At 47.7% G+C, this 18,287-nt stretch overlaps 1 protein-coding gene and 1 long non-coding RNA gene across 3 annotated transcripts in view, besides 2 other annotated features; one reads left to right on the top strand and one right to left on the bottom strand.

Moving 5' to 3' along the window:
• GPAT4-AS1 (GPAT4 and GINS4 antisense RNA 1) overlaps nt 1-10,785 on the top strand; it is a 44,064-nt gene extending 33,279 nt beyond the window's left edge. Inside the window, exons 2-3 of the long non-coding RNA NR_125824.1 lie at nt 7,780-8,019; nt 10,680-10,785. This is a non-coding gene — a long non-coding RNA (GPAT4 and GINS4 antisense RNA 1). The remainder of the gene's footprint in view (nt 1-7,779; nt 8,020-10,679) is intronic.
• GINS4 (GINS complex subunit 4) lies at nt 60-15,829 on the bottom strand. 2 transcript variants are annotated; one of them, NM_032336.3, is made up of 8 exons: nt 15,694-15,829; nt 14,792-14,906; nt 8,644-8,730; nt 7,797-7,910; nt 5,315-5,412; nt 5,086-5,174; nt 3,191-3,281; nt 60-3,099 (listed from the first exon to the last, which is right to left on the bottom strand). In NM_032336.3, the coding sequence occupies exons 2-8, from the start codon at nt 14,885-14,887 to the stop codon at nt 3,003-3,005; spliced, it is 672 nt and encodes a 223-aa protein (NP_115712.1). In that variant the 5' UTR covers nt 14,888-14,906; nt 15,694-15,829; the 3' UTR covers nt 60-3,002. The 2 variants fall into 2 exon arrangements, with proteins under 2 accessions (NP_115712.1, XP_005273716.1); XM_005273659.5 differs by having other exon boundaries at nt 15,702-15,829.
• Nucleotides 1,914-2,143: an enhancer, noted in NCBI's record as "active region_27285". NCBI's record gives its function as "activates an Ori minimal core promoter by ATAC-STARR-seq in GM12878 lymphoblastoid cells {active_cell/tissue: GM12878}" and the evidence as "EXISTENCE:reporter gene assay evidence [ECO:0000049][PMID:35858748]".
• Nucleotides 15,854-16,283: a silencer, noted in NCBI's record as "silent region_19143". NCBI's record gives its function as "represses an Ori minimal core promoter by ATAC-STARR-seq in GM12878 lymphoblastoid cells {active_cell/tissue: GM12878}" and the evidence as "EXISTENCE:reporter gene assay evidence [ECO:0000049][PMID:35858748]".

Genomic DNA, 18,287 nt, shown 5'->3' with positions numbered 1-18,287 from the left:
CATGAACCAAATGTTAAAATCAATGTCAACCAAGTCACATCATTTCCTGTTCCACTTGGTTTTGAAATTCAACTTCTCCTTTATTTAAAAATGACATCAAAACCAGTCTTCTCTTGAAGAGGTAATTTAGGAAATGGAGCAATTTACTGTGGTTTTAGAGGATGTAAAGTGCTCCGTGCAGTTGGACATGTACAGGGCAGCAGCTGGAGGCATGAGGACGTAGAGCCGTCATTCAATGTGGTCCCCGGGCCAGCAGCAACTGCACAACATGGGAGCTCCTTAGAAAGGCAGGATCCTGGACCTCACCCTGTTTCAGAACCTACATCTTTTTTTTTTTTAATTTGCAAAAATTTATTCATATACAAATGTGCAATATCAATAAAATGACCAAACAGGTTTGTTCTTGAAACATTTTCAATTGAATGGGAATTAAATGCTTTTGAAAAGTGACAAAATGATCATACAGTGAAGTTGTCTCTTTCTTTATATAACAAGCATAAATCAAGTACTAACTCTTGATTTTACTCTGAATTAACCATGACATACTAAATGAACTTGGGCTTCAGGCAGAACCTACATCTTAAGGCGAGCTCCAGGCGATGGGTATGCACATTAAGGCTTAGGAAGCACACTGTTCTAGGTTAACAGCTCAGGTCTCTGGGCTTAGCACTACAGGGAGAACGTGACTAGGAAGTGCAGACTTGGGTTCTGATCTCAGGCTTACCACTAAATATCTGCTGTTTCCCACAGCCCTGCCCGCTTCTCAGGACTGTGGGGGACCAAATGGGATCCTTATTAACAAGGTCCTGTAAGATCTGGGTCCAGCCTGCCTCAGACCTTATCATGTAATACTTTCTATTTTGAGTTGGGCTTTCTAACCAGGCTGACCTCAAGTAGAGTTTGTTTCTGCCTCAGGGCCTTTGCACAGGCTGTTTTCTCTGCCTGGAACACCCTCCCTTTTGACCTCTGCACTGCAGCTGCCTCCTGTTAATCAGATCTCAGCCTAAATGTTGTCTCTCCAGTGAGACCCTCCAGGGACTGCACGAGTATCAAATACCTTTGTCAAGAAATAAAACCTCCCCAGGCCGTGCGCAGTGGCTCACGCCTATAATTCCAGCACTTTGGGAGGCCGAGGTGGGTGGATCACCTGGGGTCAGGAGCTCGAGACCAGCTTGGCCAACATCATGAAACCCCATCTCTACTAAAAATACAAAAAATTAGTTGGGTGTGGTGGTGTGCACCTATAATACCAGCTACTCGGGAGGCTGGGGCAGGAGAATCTCTTGAACCCAGGAGGTGGAGGCTGCAGTGAGCCGTGTTCACACCACTGCCACTCCAGCCTGGGTAACAAGAGGGAAACTCCGTCTCAAAAAAGAAAAAAAAAAAAGACCTCCCTTGCTTTCCCCTACTGATTTCTCTTGGAAATGACAGCAATGTTACCCTGATTACTCTCGCAGCCCATACCCTGCAAATGGAAATCTGCCAACTTCAACCAGGAAGAAAAGACTGGAATGCAGGTTGCTTTTTATAGCATTTCAAGGAAAGATCATTCATTCACTGCCTATACATCCTTCCTTCCGGCATCACTGTGAGACTCTGCATGCACATTAATTTCATCCATTCCTCTTGAAAAAGTGAAGGACTTAAACCAGAAAAGCGGCCACAGGTCACAATACAAGATGGTTAACGTCACTCCGTTAACAGTGCCTTGGCCAAGGACAGCCAGATGGCCCGGAGGCTGACTTGGCAAAGCTGCTGGAGAGTTGGGGAGGGCTGCGGGTTAACAGCAGGGAGCACATACTTCATTAAACTACAAGCCGGGAGCCGTCCAGAGGTGCCTTCTGCTGCAGAATGGAAATTTAATAATGGTTTATTGGTTTAGTTGTGATTTTCAATTAAGCACGACAGAAATTGGTTTTAAGTCCAATATTAGAGGTTCTAAAATGTTAGTTTACACAGTCTAATGATGTATGACGGGAGAAGGCCACAGCTGTTTTCTTTAATCTATTTACAATCTTCGCAGCAGAAAGGCTAAATGAACTCTCCTACCATTATCAGGTCAGGGCTAAATGCAGCCCCGATCACAGGCAGTGATGCCTTCTTATGAACTACTTCTGCCTGACTTTCCTTAGCTCAGAAAATACTACAAAGGGAAAAGGCGTGCTGAGAGCCTCTGCTGCTCCGCCAAGTGTGCAGAACAAACAGTACAATGGCCCCATCTACTGACACGGGCTAAAACAGCAGACAGGACATGCAGCAACACAAGCAATCCTGCCTCGAGCTCCGCTTCACGCCCGTGACCCACAGCACTGCTGAGGAATGTCTGATGCCTAGTAAACTACTTTATTATTGTCCTCAGGCACAACGTGATACGAGGGGTTTCTAGTATTTTCTCTACGGTTCCAGGTCTTCATTCTTGTTTACGCCTAGTGTGTTTTTTTTGGAAATGGAGTCTCGCTCTGTCGCCCAGGCTAGAGTGCAATGGCACGATCTTGGCTCACTGCAAGCTCCACCTCCCGGGTTCACACCATTCTCCTGCCTCAGCCTCCTGAGTAGATGGGCCCGCCACCATGCCTGGCTAATTTTTTGTATTTTTAGTAGAGATGGGTTTAGTAGAGATGGGGTTTAGTAGCCAGGATGGTCTTGATCTCCTGACCTCATGAGTTTATGCCTAGTTTGTTTTTTTTTTGTTTTTTGTTTTTTTTTTTGAGACAAAGTCTCACTGTCACCCAGGCTGGAGTGCAATGGCACGACCTCGGCTCACTGCAACCTCCTGCTCCCAGGTTCAAGCGATTCTCCTGCCCCGGCCTCCTGAGTAGCTGGGATTACAGGTGCACACCACCAACACCCGGCTAATTATTTTGTATTTTTAGTAAAGATGGGGTTTCACCATGTTGGTCGGTTGGTCTCGAACTCCTGACCTCATGATCCGCCCGCCTCGGCCTCCCAAAGTGCTGGGATTACAGGCTTGAGTCACCATGCCTGGCTGTTTATGCCTAGTTTTAAATTAGCTGGACAGCTCCAGATGCAACCAGAGGTGCAATGGTTTTGTATCGGATCAAGTGCTGTGAGCCCTTCTCCAGGTCAATCACGTAGTCCCTGAAAAAGAGGGAAACACATTTGCCTGCAGAGCTCGGCTGGCCCTCCATCGGGAGGAATGTGCCCACTGTGAAAGATGCACGCCACTCACCTCTGCTCATCTGTGTCTGGTTCTACCAGTATGTTTTCTTGTCGTTCTCTCACTCTCAGAAACACGTAAGAATCTAGATCTGGTTTGGGAACTGCCAGGAAAACAACAATGTGATTAGGAAATCCTCGGCCAACAAAGTCAACAAAGTAAAAGTTGCTGGGAAGAATGGTATGGCACACTCAGGGTTTAGATAGGAGCCCAGCCCATTCCTACTCTTCAAAGATGCAGACAGAGTGGCTGACCAGGGAGGAAACCGGACACGCATTGGGCCTTTTGTTTTCCTCAGGCAGCCTCAGCAAAATGACCAATTCAGGGTTCCACAAGTCTGGTATGGGTCTGACTTGCTCCTGGTGTTATGGGCTACACTGTGTCCCTGCACAATTCATACGCTGAAGCCCTAACCCCCAGTATTTCAGCGTGGGATTGTATTCGGAAACAGGGCTTTTAAAGAGGCAATTAAGTGAAAGCGAGGCCAAGTAGTGTGGGCCCTAATCCAATCTGACTGGTGTCTTATAAGAAGAGAATAGGCCAGGCACAGTGGCTTATGCCTGTGATCTCAGCATTTTGAGAGGCTGAGGCTGGAGGATCAATTGAGGCCAGGAGTTTGACACCAGCCTACGCAACATGGCAAGATTCTGTCTCCACAAAAAAATTTTAAAAATAATAGCCAAGCATGGTGGCACATGCCTGTAGTTCCAGCTACTTGGGAAGCTGAGGTGGGAGGATCGCTTGAGCCCAGGAGTTCAAGGCTGCAGTGAGCTATGACAGCGTCAATCTACTCCAGCTGGGGCAACTGAGCAAGACCTTGTCTCAAAAAATAAAAAGCAAACAAAAAACAAAAATCAAAAGGTGGGGGGGAGGGAGGGGACTAGGACACACAGAGACTAGGATTAGTGATCTTATAAAAGTAGCCTGAGAGTCTGCTTGCCCCTTCCCTTCTCTGTGAGGACATATGGAAGGCGCCATCTATGAGGAACAGGCTCTTGGCAGACACTGAGTCTGTGGGGGCCTGGATCCTGGACTTCCCAGTCTCCATAACTGTGAGCAGCCCAAAGGGACTAAGACCCTGTTCCACCACCGCAGGGGTGGCTGTGTGGTCCCCAGCCCCAGCACAGGCTGGGCAGAGATGAATTTCCAGGGCTCGGGTGTACTGGAGCTCGTTTGATTTGGTATGGCAATTTTGCCTGAGGAGGTCTTGCTTGGATCTGGCGCACTGTGAAACACTGAGGAACATGGGCTTTATCCTGTAAGCCAGGGCCCCCGGTGGGTTGATCCGACGGTAAGGGCTCTGCCTATACCTCCCTTTCCTTGCTCGGCAGCCCTCAGGGGCTGGTGCGAAGAAGCCCGAGGAGGGGCTCCGGCCAAGCTCCCCTTCCCCGGCTCCCCTCCCTCCTCTCTCCACACCCTCCAACCTGCTCCCTCTTCTGAGGCCACAGGGACTCACTGGAGGTCTCCCTAGCCTCCTGTTTCAGCCCTCCCCTCCAGCTAGGCGAGCCCTGTGCATTCTGGGACCTGTGACGAAGAGATGGCCAGCCCCTCTAAGCAGGGGCAATGTTGGTGTAGGCTCTGCAGTGCTGGTACTCGGGGCTGCCAGCACCTCACAGAGGCTCAGCAGATGGCTACTGAAGGCGAACGCGGCTCCATGCCCGAGTCTACAAGCACCAGTGCAGTCATGGGGCTCAGCCCACCCCAGGGAACAAGGAAGCAATGCTCAAATGCCTACCATTGGATCTGCTTTCCGTGATTTTTTTGGTTTTTAGCTAGAATCCTTGCTCTTCTTTCTGTTTATCTACATACTTACTTTTTTGTATTTGGGTAAAAACAGTGAAGAGAGGATCCTACCCTGGGACACCTGAGGATGGGTGGGCCACCTGCAGGGAGAACGTCCTGTTTACCTGCCCGAAAGAGGTCCACCTTCTGTAAGTTAGGGGGCATGTGCTTCAAGGCGACATTTTTCAGATAGGACTCTGTGTTCGCCATGAACCTGAAAGACATGGATTCAAATCGCTGTGGTGTACACAGCTGATGGACGTCCAAGGTTAGCAGGCAGCAGCGCACAGGCCTCTAGGACAGGCCTCATGCTGAACCAGCCAGGTGCCCCACGCCAACGGCTCACTCACTCACTCTCTGGCAAAGGCCAACTCTTCCGGCGAGAGGCTGGAAGGCTCCCCCTCAGGACGTGTTTTTTCCTTCTCAAGGACATGAGGGAAAAACTTCTCTATCTGTGAGGATAAAGCAAAATCTTCATGAAAACATTGGCAAAAGTCAAAGAGAAGGATGTGGTTAACATAAAGAGGGTTTACACAACCCTCCCGAGGAAGGACATGTGGCCTGGAGGTGGGATAGGGTGGGTGGAGAGACACACCATAAGACACAGGACAACGTCTCTGAGACACCCTTGCAGGCAAGCTATGGACCTGGGGCTAGGGGACGGCTTGGATTGGGAGACTCCTAAGTGGCTGAAAAAAGAATGCTGACTCAATGGGTAGATGTCAAACTGTAGGGAAGTCTTTTGTGAAAGACCCTTGCCACAGTCCAATTAATAATCACATAAGGTTTTTTTTTTTTTTTTTTTTTTTTGAGATGGAGTCTCATTGTGTTGTCCAGGCTGGAATGCAGTGGTGTGATCTCAGCTCACTGCAACCTCCAACTCTCGGGTTCAAGTGATTCTCCGGCCTCAGCCTCCCAAGTAGCTGGGATTACAGGCACCCACCACCACACCCAGATGATTTTTGTATTTTTAGTAGAGATAGGATTTCACCATGTTGTCCAGGCTGGTCTCAAACTCCTGACCTCAGGTGATCCACCTGCCTTGGCCTCCCAAAGTGCTGGGATTATAGGCGTGAGCCTGTAACTGGTCATCACCAGCTTTGGTAAGCATGCCATCAAAAACCTTATGTGGGCCAGGCACAGTAGCTCATGCCTGTAATCCCCGCACTTTGGGAGGCCAAGGTGGGTGTGGATCACCTGAGGTCAGGAGTTCGAGATCAGCCTGGCCAACATGGTGAAACCCTGTCTCTTCTAAAAATCAGCTGGGCCTGGTGGCAGGGGCATGTAATCCCAGCTACTTGGAAGGCTGAGGCAACAGAATCACGTCAACCTGGGGGGCGAAGGTTGCAGTGAGCTGAGATCGCGCCACTGCACTCCAGCCTGAGCAACAGAGTGAGACTCTGTCAAAAAAAACAAAAAAACACAACCAAACAAATAAAAAAAGGGGGTTGATGACATAAAGTATTAAGAGACAGCTAATACATTAGGTGACAAGATCAGCATCCAGAGACAAGGGAAATGGCCCAATTTAATAAGATAAAGCTTAAGAGAGATAAGTATCAAGCCCTACACTTAAGGAGCCAAAACCTAAGCCATACAAGTAGAGGACAGTGACTGGATGGGGTAATTATCATCTTAAAAGGGGTTAGTGTCCACGTGAGTGAAGAATGAGCTCAGGCAGCGTACCTGTCAATATGCTAATGTGATAAATATGCTAATGTGATGTGGTTGGCATTACTACCAGCTTAATAACCAGAATAAGAGAAATGATCATTCTGTTTTTCACAAACTTGGTCAAACTACAACTGGGATACTGTGTTTAGTTTAAGATAGTGTAACTTAAGAAGGATAGAGACAAACAAGAACCCTTTTAGAGAAGAGACCAGGAGAGTAAATGGTTTGAATGGCTAAAATGTATGCCTGAGAGAAGACTTCGAGGAGACTGTGGGCAGTCTTCAGATAGCTGAAGCATTCTCATGTAGAAGAGATAATTTATCTTATTTGTAATAACTAAAGAGACACATAGAACCAAATGAAATGTCAAGGAAGTAAGAATTTCTCAGAGTTATAAACTAGGAATGTTTTGCAATTTCTTTTTTTTTTTTTTTTGAGGCGGAGTCTCGCTCTGTTGCCCAGGCTGGAGTGCAGTGGTACAATCTTGGCTCACTGAAACCTCCACCTCCTGGGTTCAAGCAATTCTCCTGTCTCAGCCTCCTGAGTAGCTGGGACTACAGGCGCCTGCCGCCACGCCTGGCTAATTTTTTTATTTTTAGTAGAAATGGGGTTTCACCTTGTTGGTCAGGCTGGTCTCAAACTCCTGACCTCAGGTGATCCACCCGCCTAGCCTCCCAAAGTGCTGGGATTACAGGTGTGAGCCACCACGCCTGGCCTGCAACTTCATTTTTGTAAGTTAGATAGCCACAAAGCTGTAGGTGAATGTAAGTCATCCTGGTTCATTTGACACTGACGTTGGCCATCTGACAGACAAAATAATTTTGGAAACAAGTTCTCCTCTAGTCAGCATTCACTATTGACCAATGCCAACAACTCTCCCTTTAGCACTGCCATGCTGTAACGCAAGGGGGAACCACTCACTCGGCAGGTGAACAGACTAAAAATGTGTGCGGTGTCCCCGCAGTGGGCCACACACGTTCCTCTGTGCTTCTGTGGAGCAATCTCTCGCTCTCCTTACAGTTTAGCTACATGGATATTGGGCTCTTAGCAGCATCTTCAGGTCCTGGACCCTCCTGGGCCCCAGCCCAAGTTTTCCCCAGGACATTCAGTCTGCATTACAGACTGTGCTGTCTCAATCCCTCCAGGTATCTCCACGTCAAACCTTCATGAGGCGACACCGCAAGTAGCTGCTGAGGACGTAGCGGATCCTCTCCATCTCCATTTGGTGGATGCTGACCTTCAGGTCCTCCCTTTTGGCTCTCCTGAGATTTTCTTCCTATTAAATGAGAAATTAAGGTTTATAAAAAACATGATGTTCAACCATCATCACCGGCAACGTTGAGGACCCAGACTATGTTTCAGTCCAAGGAAAACAAAAATATCATGTGAGTTTTCATTTTATCATTGTATAAAGTACAAACAATAGTCATTTACTTTTAGAAAATGACCATTTGAATAGAATCTGTTCAGCCAGAGGCTTCCAAAAGAACTCCAATCTGATTGTAAGGGAGATAGTACAGCACACAGACGAAACTTCCATTGGGTCTAAAAAGCAGTATTAAAACACCAGCTGAGAAACTGAAATATCCACATTTTACAGCTTCTCTGAAGTTGACAATGATTTATGCTCAGATCATCTAGGCCAGGGACCACAAACTCAAATGTTTGCAGGGGCCAGGTGGGGAGGCTACAAGAGAAGGGTGGGTAGTCAGGGGCTGTGGGGAGCAGGGAGTACATGGATGGACAGCTCTCATGGGACTGCTCTGGTCAACTGTTCTCATGCAGAAATGCAGGATTTTAGACTTTTCATGGGAAGCCAATATCCAGATATTTACAGGCACTCTCAAGATTGATAAACATAGATAACTAATTCAATGTTGTTTTAAAGAACTGGACTGTGAGTGGAGCCAAACAAAACAGATTTGCTACCAGACCACAAGCTCTCAGTGTGCTGACCAAATGCTTTTACCTTTCTCCTCCTTTGTCAACCCAAGACAAGCGACTCTTACCATGTGCTCCAGCTGTTCCATGACACATTCTACAATCTCAGGCTTGCTCTCCAGCAGCTCAGGGGCAAACTTTTCATTCATCCAGGCCTAAAAGACAAATGCCAGAAAAAGCAAGCATCACCCACCACAGAGCTAAACAACCCAGTGAGTCAGCCCAAGTCCAACGAAAACCAGGGATGGCGCAGGCAAGAAAACTGTCTGCCCACCAACTGGAAACATTGAAGGTGTTTTGAAGACAAACTACGTTTAGCGATTGCTTTCTCGTGTCTTGTTTTAGTTGGGAGGCTGTGTTCACAACCTTCTATTCAACTGACACTCATACAAACCCTTGCTTACTTCAGTTAGTGTGACGCTTGGTGCTGAGAGTGACACCACCTGGTGTTCAAATAGTGCCTTTGCCAGGCAGCCCGGGCACACTGTTCCCCCAGGCAGCGCCACCCCATGTCTATTTAGAGAGAAAGCAATAACCCACCAATCCACACAGCTCTTCATTCCTGAAGCTCAGAGCACTTCACAAATATTTTTCATTCATCATCATCATATCTCAGAGAAAATGGATATAGTTATCCTCATCTGATTGAAAAAATACAGATTGAGTAATTTACTAATGGCCCCAAAGTATACAGGATCATAATAGAAACAGGCGCTCATCTATTATGGAGTTTTGGAGCCAGAGGTTAAAGCTCTAATTTATGACTCAGGCCCAGCTGTTTGGTTCATTTTAGAGACTTCCAAGGCTTAGAGAACTGAAATATCCCTAAGTGACTGAGGAAAGCTACACTTATCTTTCAATTACAGGAAATGTAGTTTTAGCATAGCTCAGAATTATATGCTGACCAGGCTCAACTTATTTTTTTCTGACGTCCTTGAGTGTCTGCTTCTCCCCATGATCACCGTCAAGACACATTACCAAATGCTGGGTATGGCTACAGTCATAGGCATTTGTGCAGAGCCTGAGCATCTGTAACAGTCCTGCAGACTGAAACAAACAAACAAAAAAAACCTGCATAATGCATGGGAAAACATCATATTTTCTGGAGGGCTTATTAGGAGCAGCATTTCTTTTTGATTGATTTTTATTAAATATTGAATAATTTTTATTTATTTTTGAGGCACAGTCTCACTCTGTTGCCCAGGCTGGAAAGCAGAGGCATGATCCCAGCTCACTGCAGCCTCTGCCTCTCGGGTTCAAGTGATTCTCCTGCCTCAGCCTTCCGAGTAGCTGGAATTACAGGCATGTGCCACTATGCCCAGCTAATTTTTGTATTTTTATTAGAGACAGGGTTTCACCGTATTCGTCAGGCTGGTCTTGAACTCCTGACCTCAAGTGATCCACCTGCCTTGGCCTCTCAAAGTGCTGGGGTTAGAGGCGTGAGCCACCGAGCCCAGCCAAATACTGAATAATTTTTAAAACTACAAGAACAAGCCGGGTGCAGTGGCTCACGCCTGTAATCCCAGCACTTTGGGAGGCCGAGGCAGGCGGATCACGAGGTCAGGAGATCAAACCATCCTGGCTAACATGGTGAAACTCCGTCTCCACTAAAAATACAAAAAATTAGCCGGGCGTGGCACGCCTGTAGTCCCAGCTACTTGGGAGGCTGAGGCAGAACTGCTTGAACCTGGGAGGCAGAGGTTGCAGTGAGCCAAGATTGCACCACTGCCCTCCAGCCAGGGCAACAGAGCAAGACTCCATCTCAAAAAAAAAAAAGACCCTGTGTGTCCCTCCCTCCTCAGAGGTAATCATTAGCTTGAATTTCATGTTGAATTTTCTTTATGGTCTCACTACATTTGTTCATATCTCTGTAGAACACCTCTCAACCTGTTCATGACAGGATATTCAAAGAAAATGATAGTGCTTGTCTGGTACACTGGGGTAGTATTGGGGACCACTTCATTTACATTATGAAATTATGACAATAAAGTATAAAACATTAGGTGGAAGTTTATATTAGTATAAAACTTTCATATAAATCTTTCCAAAATTTTTACTGAGAAACTTGTATCTAAATCCAATCTTTTTTTTTTTTTTAACTCAGGTTTTATGCTTGAAATGGCTACATCTGGTTTCTGGTCACACAGTGGCATGATAATGGCTCACTGCATTCTTGACCTCCAAGGCTTAAGTGATCCTCCTGCCTCAGCCTCCAGAGTAGCTGGGACTAAAGGTACATACCACAAAGCCTGGCTAATTTTTAAATTTTTTTTAATAAAGATGGGGTTTTACCATGTTGCCTACAGTGGTCTTCGAAATCCTGGCCTCATGACATCCCCCTGCATTAGCCTCCAGAAGTGTTGGGATTACAGGCTTGAACCACTGTGCCTGGCCCCTGATCAAAATTCTAAATGCCAATCTGTTCATTATTGCTACGGGCTGAAGTGTGTCCGCCCCTCAAAAATCTACCTAACTTCCAGGACCTCAGACCGTGACTGTATTTGGAGATGGAGGTCTTTAAAGAAGTGATTAAGTTAAAATGAGGTCATTAGGATGGCCCCTAATCCAGTAAGACTGGTGCCCTGATAAGGGGTAATTTTAACACAGACACACACGAGAGGGAAGACCATGCAAGGACACAGGGAGAATATGGTCACCTACAAACCCAAGACAGAGGACTCGGAAGAAGACAACTATGCTGGCACTTTGACCTCAGCCTCTAGAATTAAGAAAATAAATTTCTATTTAAGCCACCCAGTCTTTGGGACTTCGCTCTGTGGCCCTAGCAAACTAAAACAATCACTAAAATGAGCAAATCTGCACTACAGGTAACAACTTTTAAATCACTTTTTACAGGCATTAAAGGGTATCCTATATATGCTCCTGGAGCTGTTCTCATCAGCAGCCCTGTCAGGCTGTCCCTTTGGCTGTGCCACACAGCATAAGAGACAGGATCTGGCTGTGGCAGCCGTGCAGGTGGCGGGTCACTTCCTTGGCTGCACTCAGGGCACTGCACTAGAGCATCAGGCATGAGATGTTACTGCAGCTTACCCACCAGCAAGCTGCAGCTGTGCTGTCAGAACCCCCGCCGCCCCATCCTCTAGCTGCCTTTCAAGGACCCCGATGATGCTCACTTGAAAAAGTAACCAGCCTGGGGCTCCAGCTGTCCTGGAAGGTGCAGGGGTCCACACAGAGGCATCTGTGGCATAGCAGTGTGCCACATCACCCAAGGGTGGCGGCTCTGCCTTGAACAATAATTTTGCAAGTTTGAACTTTACATAAAGTGTTTCTTTGGCAGCTCATATTTTATGGTTGTTATTGTTCTACATTAAGTTCCTGTTATTCATGCTGTTTCAGGAGTTATTTTACTCATTTTCACTGCTGTTTTATTCCCACTGTGTATGGTATATTTTCTCAATGCTATTTGTTTACGGTTGTCTAGGTTATTTTAATTTTTAACTATTGCAAGCAATGTGTGAACATACTGTGGATGTCTCCTAGAGTACATGCGGAAGTTTTCACTAGGTATGTACCTGGGGGTGGAACTACTGGGCCGCAGGTATGTGCACCTTCATCTTTACTAGACAATAACAAATTATTTTCCAAAGCGATTATACCTATTTATATCCCACGGCAGTATATAAGTGTGCAAATTGCTCTTCATTTTTTTTTTTTTTTTTTTGAGATGGAGTCTTGCTCTGTTGCCCAGGCTGGAGTGCAGTGGCATGATCTCGGCTCTCTGCAATCTCCACCTCCTGGGTTCAAGAGATTCTCCTGCCTCAACCTCCTGAGTAGCTGGGATTACAGGCATGCCAACAAGCCTGGCTAATTTTTGTATTTTTGGTAGAGACGGGGTTTCGCCATGTTGGCCAGGATGGTCTTGAACTCCTGACTTCAGGTGATCCGCCCCTCTCGGTCTCCCAAAGTGCTGGGATTACAGGTGTGAGCCACCGCACCCGGCCTGCCCTATATTCTTAATTTTCTCTTTTTGGGATAAGATCTCGCTATGATCCTCAGGATGGTCTCAAACTCCTGGGTTCAAATGAACCTCCCACTTGGGCTTCCTGAGTTGCTAGAACTACAGGCATGAGCCACTGCGCTCAGCTGCTCTACATTCTTGCCATACTTTATATTGCTCACGTTTTTCAGTTCTTCCAATCTGATAGATATGAGATGATATCTCATGATTTTCATTTTCCTGATTACTAAAAAGGTTGAACATCTTTTTCATATGCTTATTGGTCATCCTGTTTTCTTCTTCTCTGAGGTATCAGTCTGTACTGGGCAGTATGAAAGAGCTGTTTATGTACTGTGGATAATCATCTTGTGTCAGCTACATATTAGTATTTTGCAAATATCTTCTCCCAGCCTGGTGGCCTGTCTTTTCACTCTAATCCAGAAGTACAAACAGGCTGGGCACAGAGGCTCATGCCTGTAATCCCAGCACTTTGGGAGGCTAAGGCAGGCAGATCACAAGGTCAGGAGTTCAAGACCAGCCTGGCCAACACAGCGAAACCCAATATGGTGAAACCCCATCTCTACTAAAAATACAAAAAGTAGCCAGGCGTGGTGGTGCACACCTGTAGGCCCAGCTACTCAGGAGGCTGATGCAGGAGAATCGCTTGAACCTGGGAGGTGGAGGCTGCAAGTGAACCAAGATCACACCACTGCACTCCAGGAATGTATCCCTTTTTTCCTTTATGCTATGTGCCTTTTGATTTTTGTTTAATGAACCCTTTCCTAACGAACCAGGAATTCTTAATGCTGTTCCACAAACTAGGTCTGTGGGTGGATTTCAGGGGATCTCTGATCCCCTGGAAGTCATATGCAAAATTCTGCATGGGTGCATGTGTGCGTTATTGTGGGATGAAAGACCACAGTTTCTACCAGTTTCTCAAAAAGGTCTGTGATATAAAAACAGATTAAGAATCACTGCTAAATAGTAAGGATTATCATGTAAGGTATAATTTAAAAATCATTTTAGTTCCGTTTTGTCATTCGTGATATCATGTATGGCAGGGAAGAATGAAGAATACTAAAGTAGCAAACATGAGAGAGCTCTGGAAAGGGGCAGTTAGAGCAAGAGGATAAGGATACTTACTATGAACAGCTCACATCTAGTGAGTGCTTATCATGTGTCAGATAGCATGCTGAGTGCTTTACACAATTACCACATTTAATCAAAAACTCCAGGACATAGACACTATTATCATCTCAATTTTATTTTATTATTTTTTTGAGACGGAGTTTCACTCTTGTTGCCCAGGCTGGAGTGCAATGGTGGGTAGGATCTTGGCTCACCACAACCTCTGCCTCCCAGGTTCAGGTGATCCTCCGGCCTTAGCCTCCCGAGTAGCTGGGATTACAGGCATGCGCCACCACATCCGGCTAATTTTTGTTTTTTAGTAGAGACGGGATTTTACCATGTTGGTAAGGCTGGTCTCGAACTCCTGGACCTCAGGTGATCCGCCCACCTCAGCCTCCCAAAGTGCTGGCATTACAGGCTTGAGCCACCGTGCCCGGCCCTATTGTCTCAATTTTATAGGCAAGCAACGGCTTGAGACAAACTCCCTAACTTGCTCAAGATCACATAACAGAGGAGTGTCACAGACAGATTTAAATCCAGATAGTCTGAACTCCTGTTACCAGAGCATCATGAGATATAAGTGTAAAGAACACAGTTACTGGCACATGGGAAATATGCAGTAAGTCATAGCTATTACAACTTAAAGGAGAAATATTTCAGAAAGGATTTTAGATAAGCAGTGGACATATGGAGAGCAGACGACTCAAGAAAAAACATGTGAGAAAAAGGAAAAATATGACCAGTTTTCCCTTACAGGCATTTCAGCATTTTCTTGCTAAACAGGCATTCTCCAGGGAAACAGCAGATGTTCAAGGGACTAAGGTAAAGAAGTTCAGGGACCTCTACAGTCCCTGAAAATATCACGTGGATCCTTGCTCTGTGAACTGTTCACTGAATGTGCCCAAAGCTGTCCCTTACTGACCCCACTTGGGGATGCTGTGTTTGATATGATGAGGTCTCTAACAGAGGATGTCCTTCTTGCTTCCCGTTTCCATGTAGATGGTAAGATCCAGTCCCTGTTCTAAAGTAAGCCCCAAATTCCGTTTCCTCATCTTGTGATCCCTGATATTCACAGTTGAACTAAATAAAAAGGCTGACTGGAGCAAAGGGATTCGATCTGGGATGCTTACCTGCTCCAATCTTTCAATGAGCTCTGCAGGAGTTAGGACCACTTCCTCACTACCCCCATCAGAGTCCTGTCCCAGGAAATCCACTTCTTCGGTCATCTTCTCTGAAACCAGGAACCTAATGAGAGGGAAAGAACCAATACTCTGCAATGCGTTTTCTAATTATCTGCAAGAACAGACATCTATCTGGAGAAAGGAAAGGTTTATTGAGGTTTCCTGGGGTTGTAGAGGCCCTTTAGCAAGTGGTGAGAGAACGCAGGGACTCTAGTTTTCCAGTGTCTGCCTCTTCCTCCAAGGCTTAGGTCAGGTATCCGTTTCTCAAACAAGCCTCCCCCTTACTTCTGTCCACCAAGAGCTGAGCACCCATCACACCATACAATCACTATTCATTTCTTTGACTTCCCAGTAGAGGTCTTGTTCCTCAGGGACGGGGTTCGTTTTAGTTCAAATACGAATCGCGCCTCTGCTCAGTGCCTGGCACTAAGCACTGGGGACGCAATGACGTGGGAAGCCCCTGCGCTCAGCACAGCGCTTGACTCCTAGCAAGCACTTAACATTATTAGGAGCTGGCCGGGCTCACGCCTGTAATCCCAGCACTTTGGGAAGCCGAGGCAGGAAGATACCTTGAGCCCAGGAGTTCGAGACCAGCCTGGGCAACATAGGGAGATCCTGTCTCTATAAAAACAAAAATTGTTAGGAAGATTAATCAATGCTAATTTCCCAGAGCCACAAGGGCCGGCGACATTAGACCAGTCGGCGATCCCAAAGGCCTAAGGAGGTGGATGGCGGGGACAAAGAAAGTCCCTGGGGTCGCAAGGAAACTGCGAACATCCCCCTCCCCTCCTCCCTCTCAGTGCCACCCACACAGGCCTGCCCTAGCCACAGAGGTCCCATTCGACGCTCACTCGGGGACCTGGGAGACAGCGAGGCACTCCACAGCAGCCGGCGGTAAGGACGGGGCGTTCGTGGGGACGCAGTCGGGGCACCAGGAAGCGGGAAGACAGAGGAACAAACTGCTCAAGGACTTGCCGGGACCAACTCAACCCTGCAACTTCTCAGCTCCCGCGCTACTCTCGCAAAGTTTCCGCCCAGGCACGACGTCATCGCGCAAGGGCGACGCTGACCAATCAAGGCCCGGGGGGAAGAGCGGGGCGGTCTCCTTGGGCCCGCCCACCCGGCGGGCGGGGACTGTCTTCGCGGCGGCCTGCAGTCCCAGCAACCCAAGGACTTGAGGCGGCGGGAGGCTGGTCCGGGTTGGCCCCGCCCACCTGGGGGCCGGCCGCTCCGCTGTGCGGTCCGGGTTGCACTACCCAAGAGCGTCGGGAGGGGGCGCCCGCCACCGCGGCCAAGGGGAGCGGCGGTGTCCGCCCCGGGGGGTCCCACCCAGAAGTATGCTGTTGAAAGCAGGCCGCTGCAGCCTCCTGGGCCGTCTCCACCCACAGCTCTCGTGGCTCTTTGGGTTCCTCCGTCTTTGCGGGGTTTCACCTGTGGTCAGTGTGGTCATTGCCTTCAGAATCTCCAGTATATTCCTTTTCATCTTTCTTGAGACAGGGTCTCGTTCTGGTGCCCAGGCTGGAGTGCAGTGGCACCACCACAGCTCACTGCAACCTCCGCCTCCCGGGCTCCAGCGATCCTCCCACCTCAGCCTCCGGAGTAGCTGGGACCACAGGCCAGCGCCACCACGCCCAGTTATTTTTTAATTAAAAAAAAAAAAAAAAAGAACTGTGGCGGGGTTGGGGGTGGGGAGGTTCTCCCTATGATGGCCAGGCTGGTCTCGAACTCAAGGATCCAAGCAATCCTCCCACCTCGGCCTCACAAAGTGGGTACTGGTTCTTGAAGCCTGGGATCGGACGACCAGCAGAAGCATCGCCTGGGAATCCGTGAAAATGCAGGTTCTCAGGCCCCACCCTGGCCCACCGAATCAGAAACTGGGGGTATTTCACCAGACCCAGGCCCTCCCGGTGACCCTGACACAGCTGAGGTTTGAGAATCACTGCTTTGGGGCCGGGCGCGGTGGCTCACGCCTGTAATCCCAGCACTTTGGGAGGCCGAGGTGGGCGGATCACGAGGTCAGGAGATCGAGACCATCCTGGCTAACATGGTGAAACCCCGTCTCTACTAAAAATACAAAAAAATTAGCCGGGCGTGGTGGCGGGCGCCTGTAGTCCCAGCTACTCGGGAGGCTGAGGCGGGAGAATGGCGTGAACCCGGGAGGCGGAGCCTGCAGTGAGCCAAGATGGCGTCACTGCACTCCAGCCTGGGAGACAGAGCCAGACTCCATCTCAAAAAAAAGAAAAAAAAAGAAAAAAGAAAAGAGAATCACTGCTTTGGGGCAATGCTTTCAACTCACCTTCTGGAGGGGAAAAGCACAAAAACCCATGTCTGTATATGTATATATTTTTTCCATCTTTGTGTGATCCAGTTTTTCTTCTCTGAGTTGCTGATTCTTTTCTCTTTGCTGTCCTTTGTTTTCTGTGCAAAGCGTTGCTTCTGGCTTCCCTAAAAGTATCTCTTCTCCATCAATCTGAGGGCTCTTTGCAAAGCTGCCCTATGATGTCATATTGATTGACTAGTAAAATGATTGGCTAATATAGTATGATCGTACCTGCCTGATTACAATCCTGTTATGAAAATGACAATAGAATAAGCCGAGTGAGAGAGTAGGCATCTTTACAAAGCGCTGTGTAAGCTGGGGCATATCAGCACGGGATTCCCAAAAGGAAGGGACATTTGAGCTGTGTCTTATGAAATGAATTTTGTGAGTGGCAAATAGGTGGTTATTTCAAGGTCTGTTTCAACGGTTTGGTAATCCAGTGGTTTTTGGTTGTGGCAGAGTGTGTTTCCCAAACATAGCTGCTCTAATATGGATCTCACCCCACATACCCTTCTTACCATGTGACATTGACACTCCTCCATCAAGAGGTGGGGTCTATGTTCTCACCTTCTATTTATTTATTTAGAGACAGGGCCTCACTCTGTCGCGCAGCCTGGAGTGCAGTGGGGCGGTCACGGCTCATTGCACCCTTGACCTTCCTGGGCTCAGGTGATCCTCCCACTTCAGCCCCCATGAGTAGCTGGGACTACAGGTGTGTACCATGCCTGGCTAATTTTTTGTATTTTTGGTAGAGGTGGGGTTTCATCATGTTGCTCAGGCTGGTCTTGAACTCGGGCTCAAGTGATCTGCTCACCTCAGCCTCCCAAAGTGCTGGGATTACAGGTGTGAGCCACAGCGCCTGGCCCTGTTCTTGCCTTTTACATCAGGAAAGAGTTTTTTAACTGCTTTGACCAAGAGAATTTGGCAGAAGTGATGCTGCTTGGCTTCTGGGACTAAGTCATAAAAGGCAATGTGGCTTCCACTTGGCTCTTTTTTCTGGAGCCCCATCTCTTGAGAGCTGTGGGCTGACGTGGAAGAAGTCTGGCTAGCCTGCAGTCGATGTGCAAGAGAGTCGATATGAAGATGCCAGGCAGAGATGGGGAGCCTTACTGGAGGAACCCCAGA

Source organism: Homo sapiens, chromosome 8 (genome assembly GCF_000001405.40).
Source record: "Homo sapiens chromosome 8, GRCh38.p14 Primary Assembly".
Taxonomy (NCBI): Eukaryota; Metazoa; Chordata; class Mammalia; order Primates; family Hominidae; genus Homo; species Homo sapiens.
This window is presented reverse-complemented; position numbering and strand designations above follow the sequence as displayed.

What these genes read in the sequence shown, in the direction of transcription:
- GINS4 (NM_032336.3), bottom strand. Translation starts at nt 14,887, where the DNA reads ATGACCGAAGAAGTGGATTTCCTGGGACAGGACTCTGATGGGGGTAGT. An exon ending in GAGTTGGCCTTTGCCAGAGA is followed by an intron (nt 5,175 to 5,314) that starts GTGAGTGAGTGA and finishes CATGTCTTTCAG; the next exon opens with GTTCATGGCGAACACAGAGT. An exon ending in CCAGACACAGATGAGCAGAG is followed by an intron (nt 3,100 to 3,190) that starts GTGAGTGGCGTG and finishes CCTCTTTTTCAG; the next exon opens with GGACTACGTGATTGACCTGG.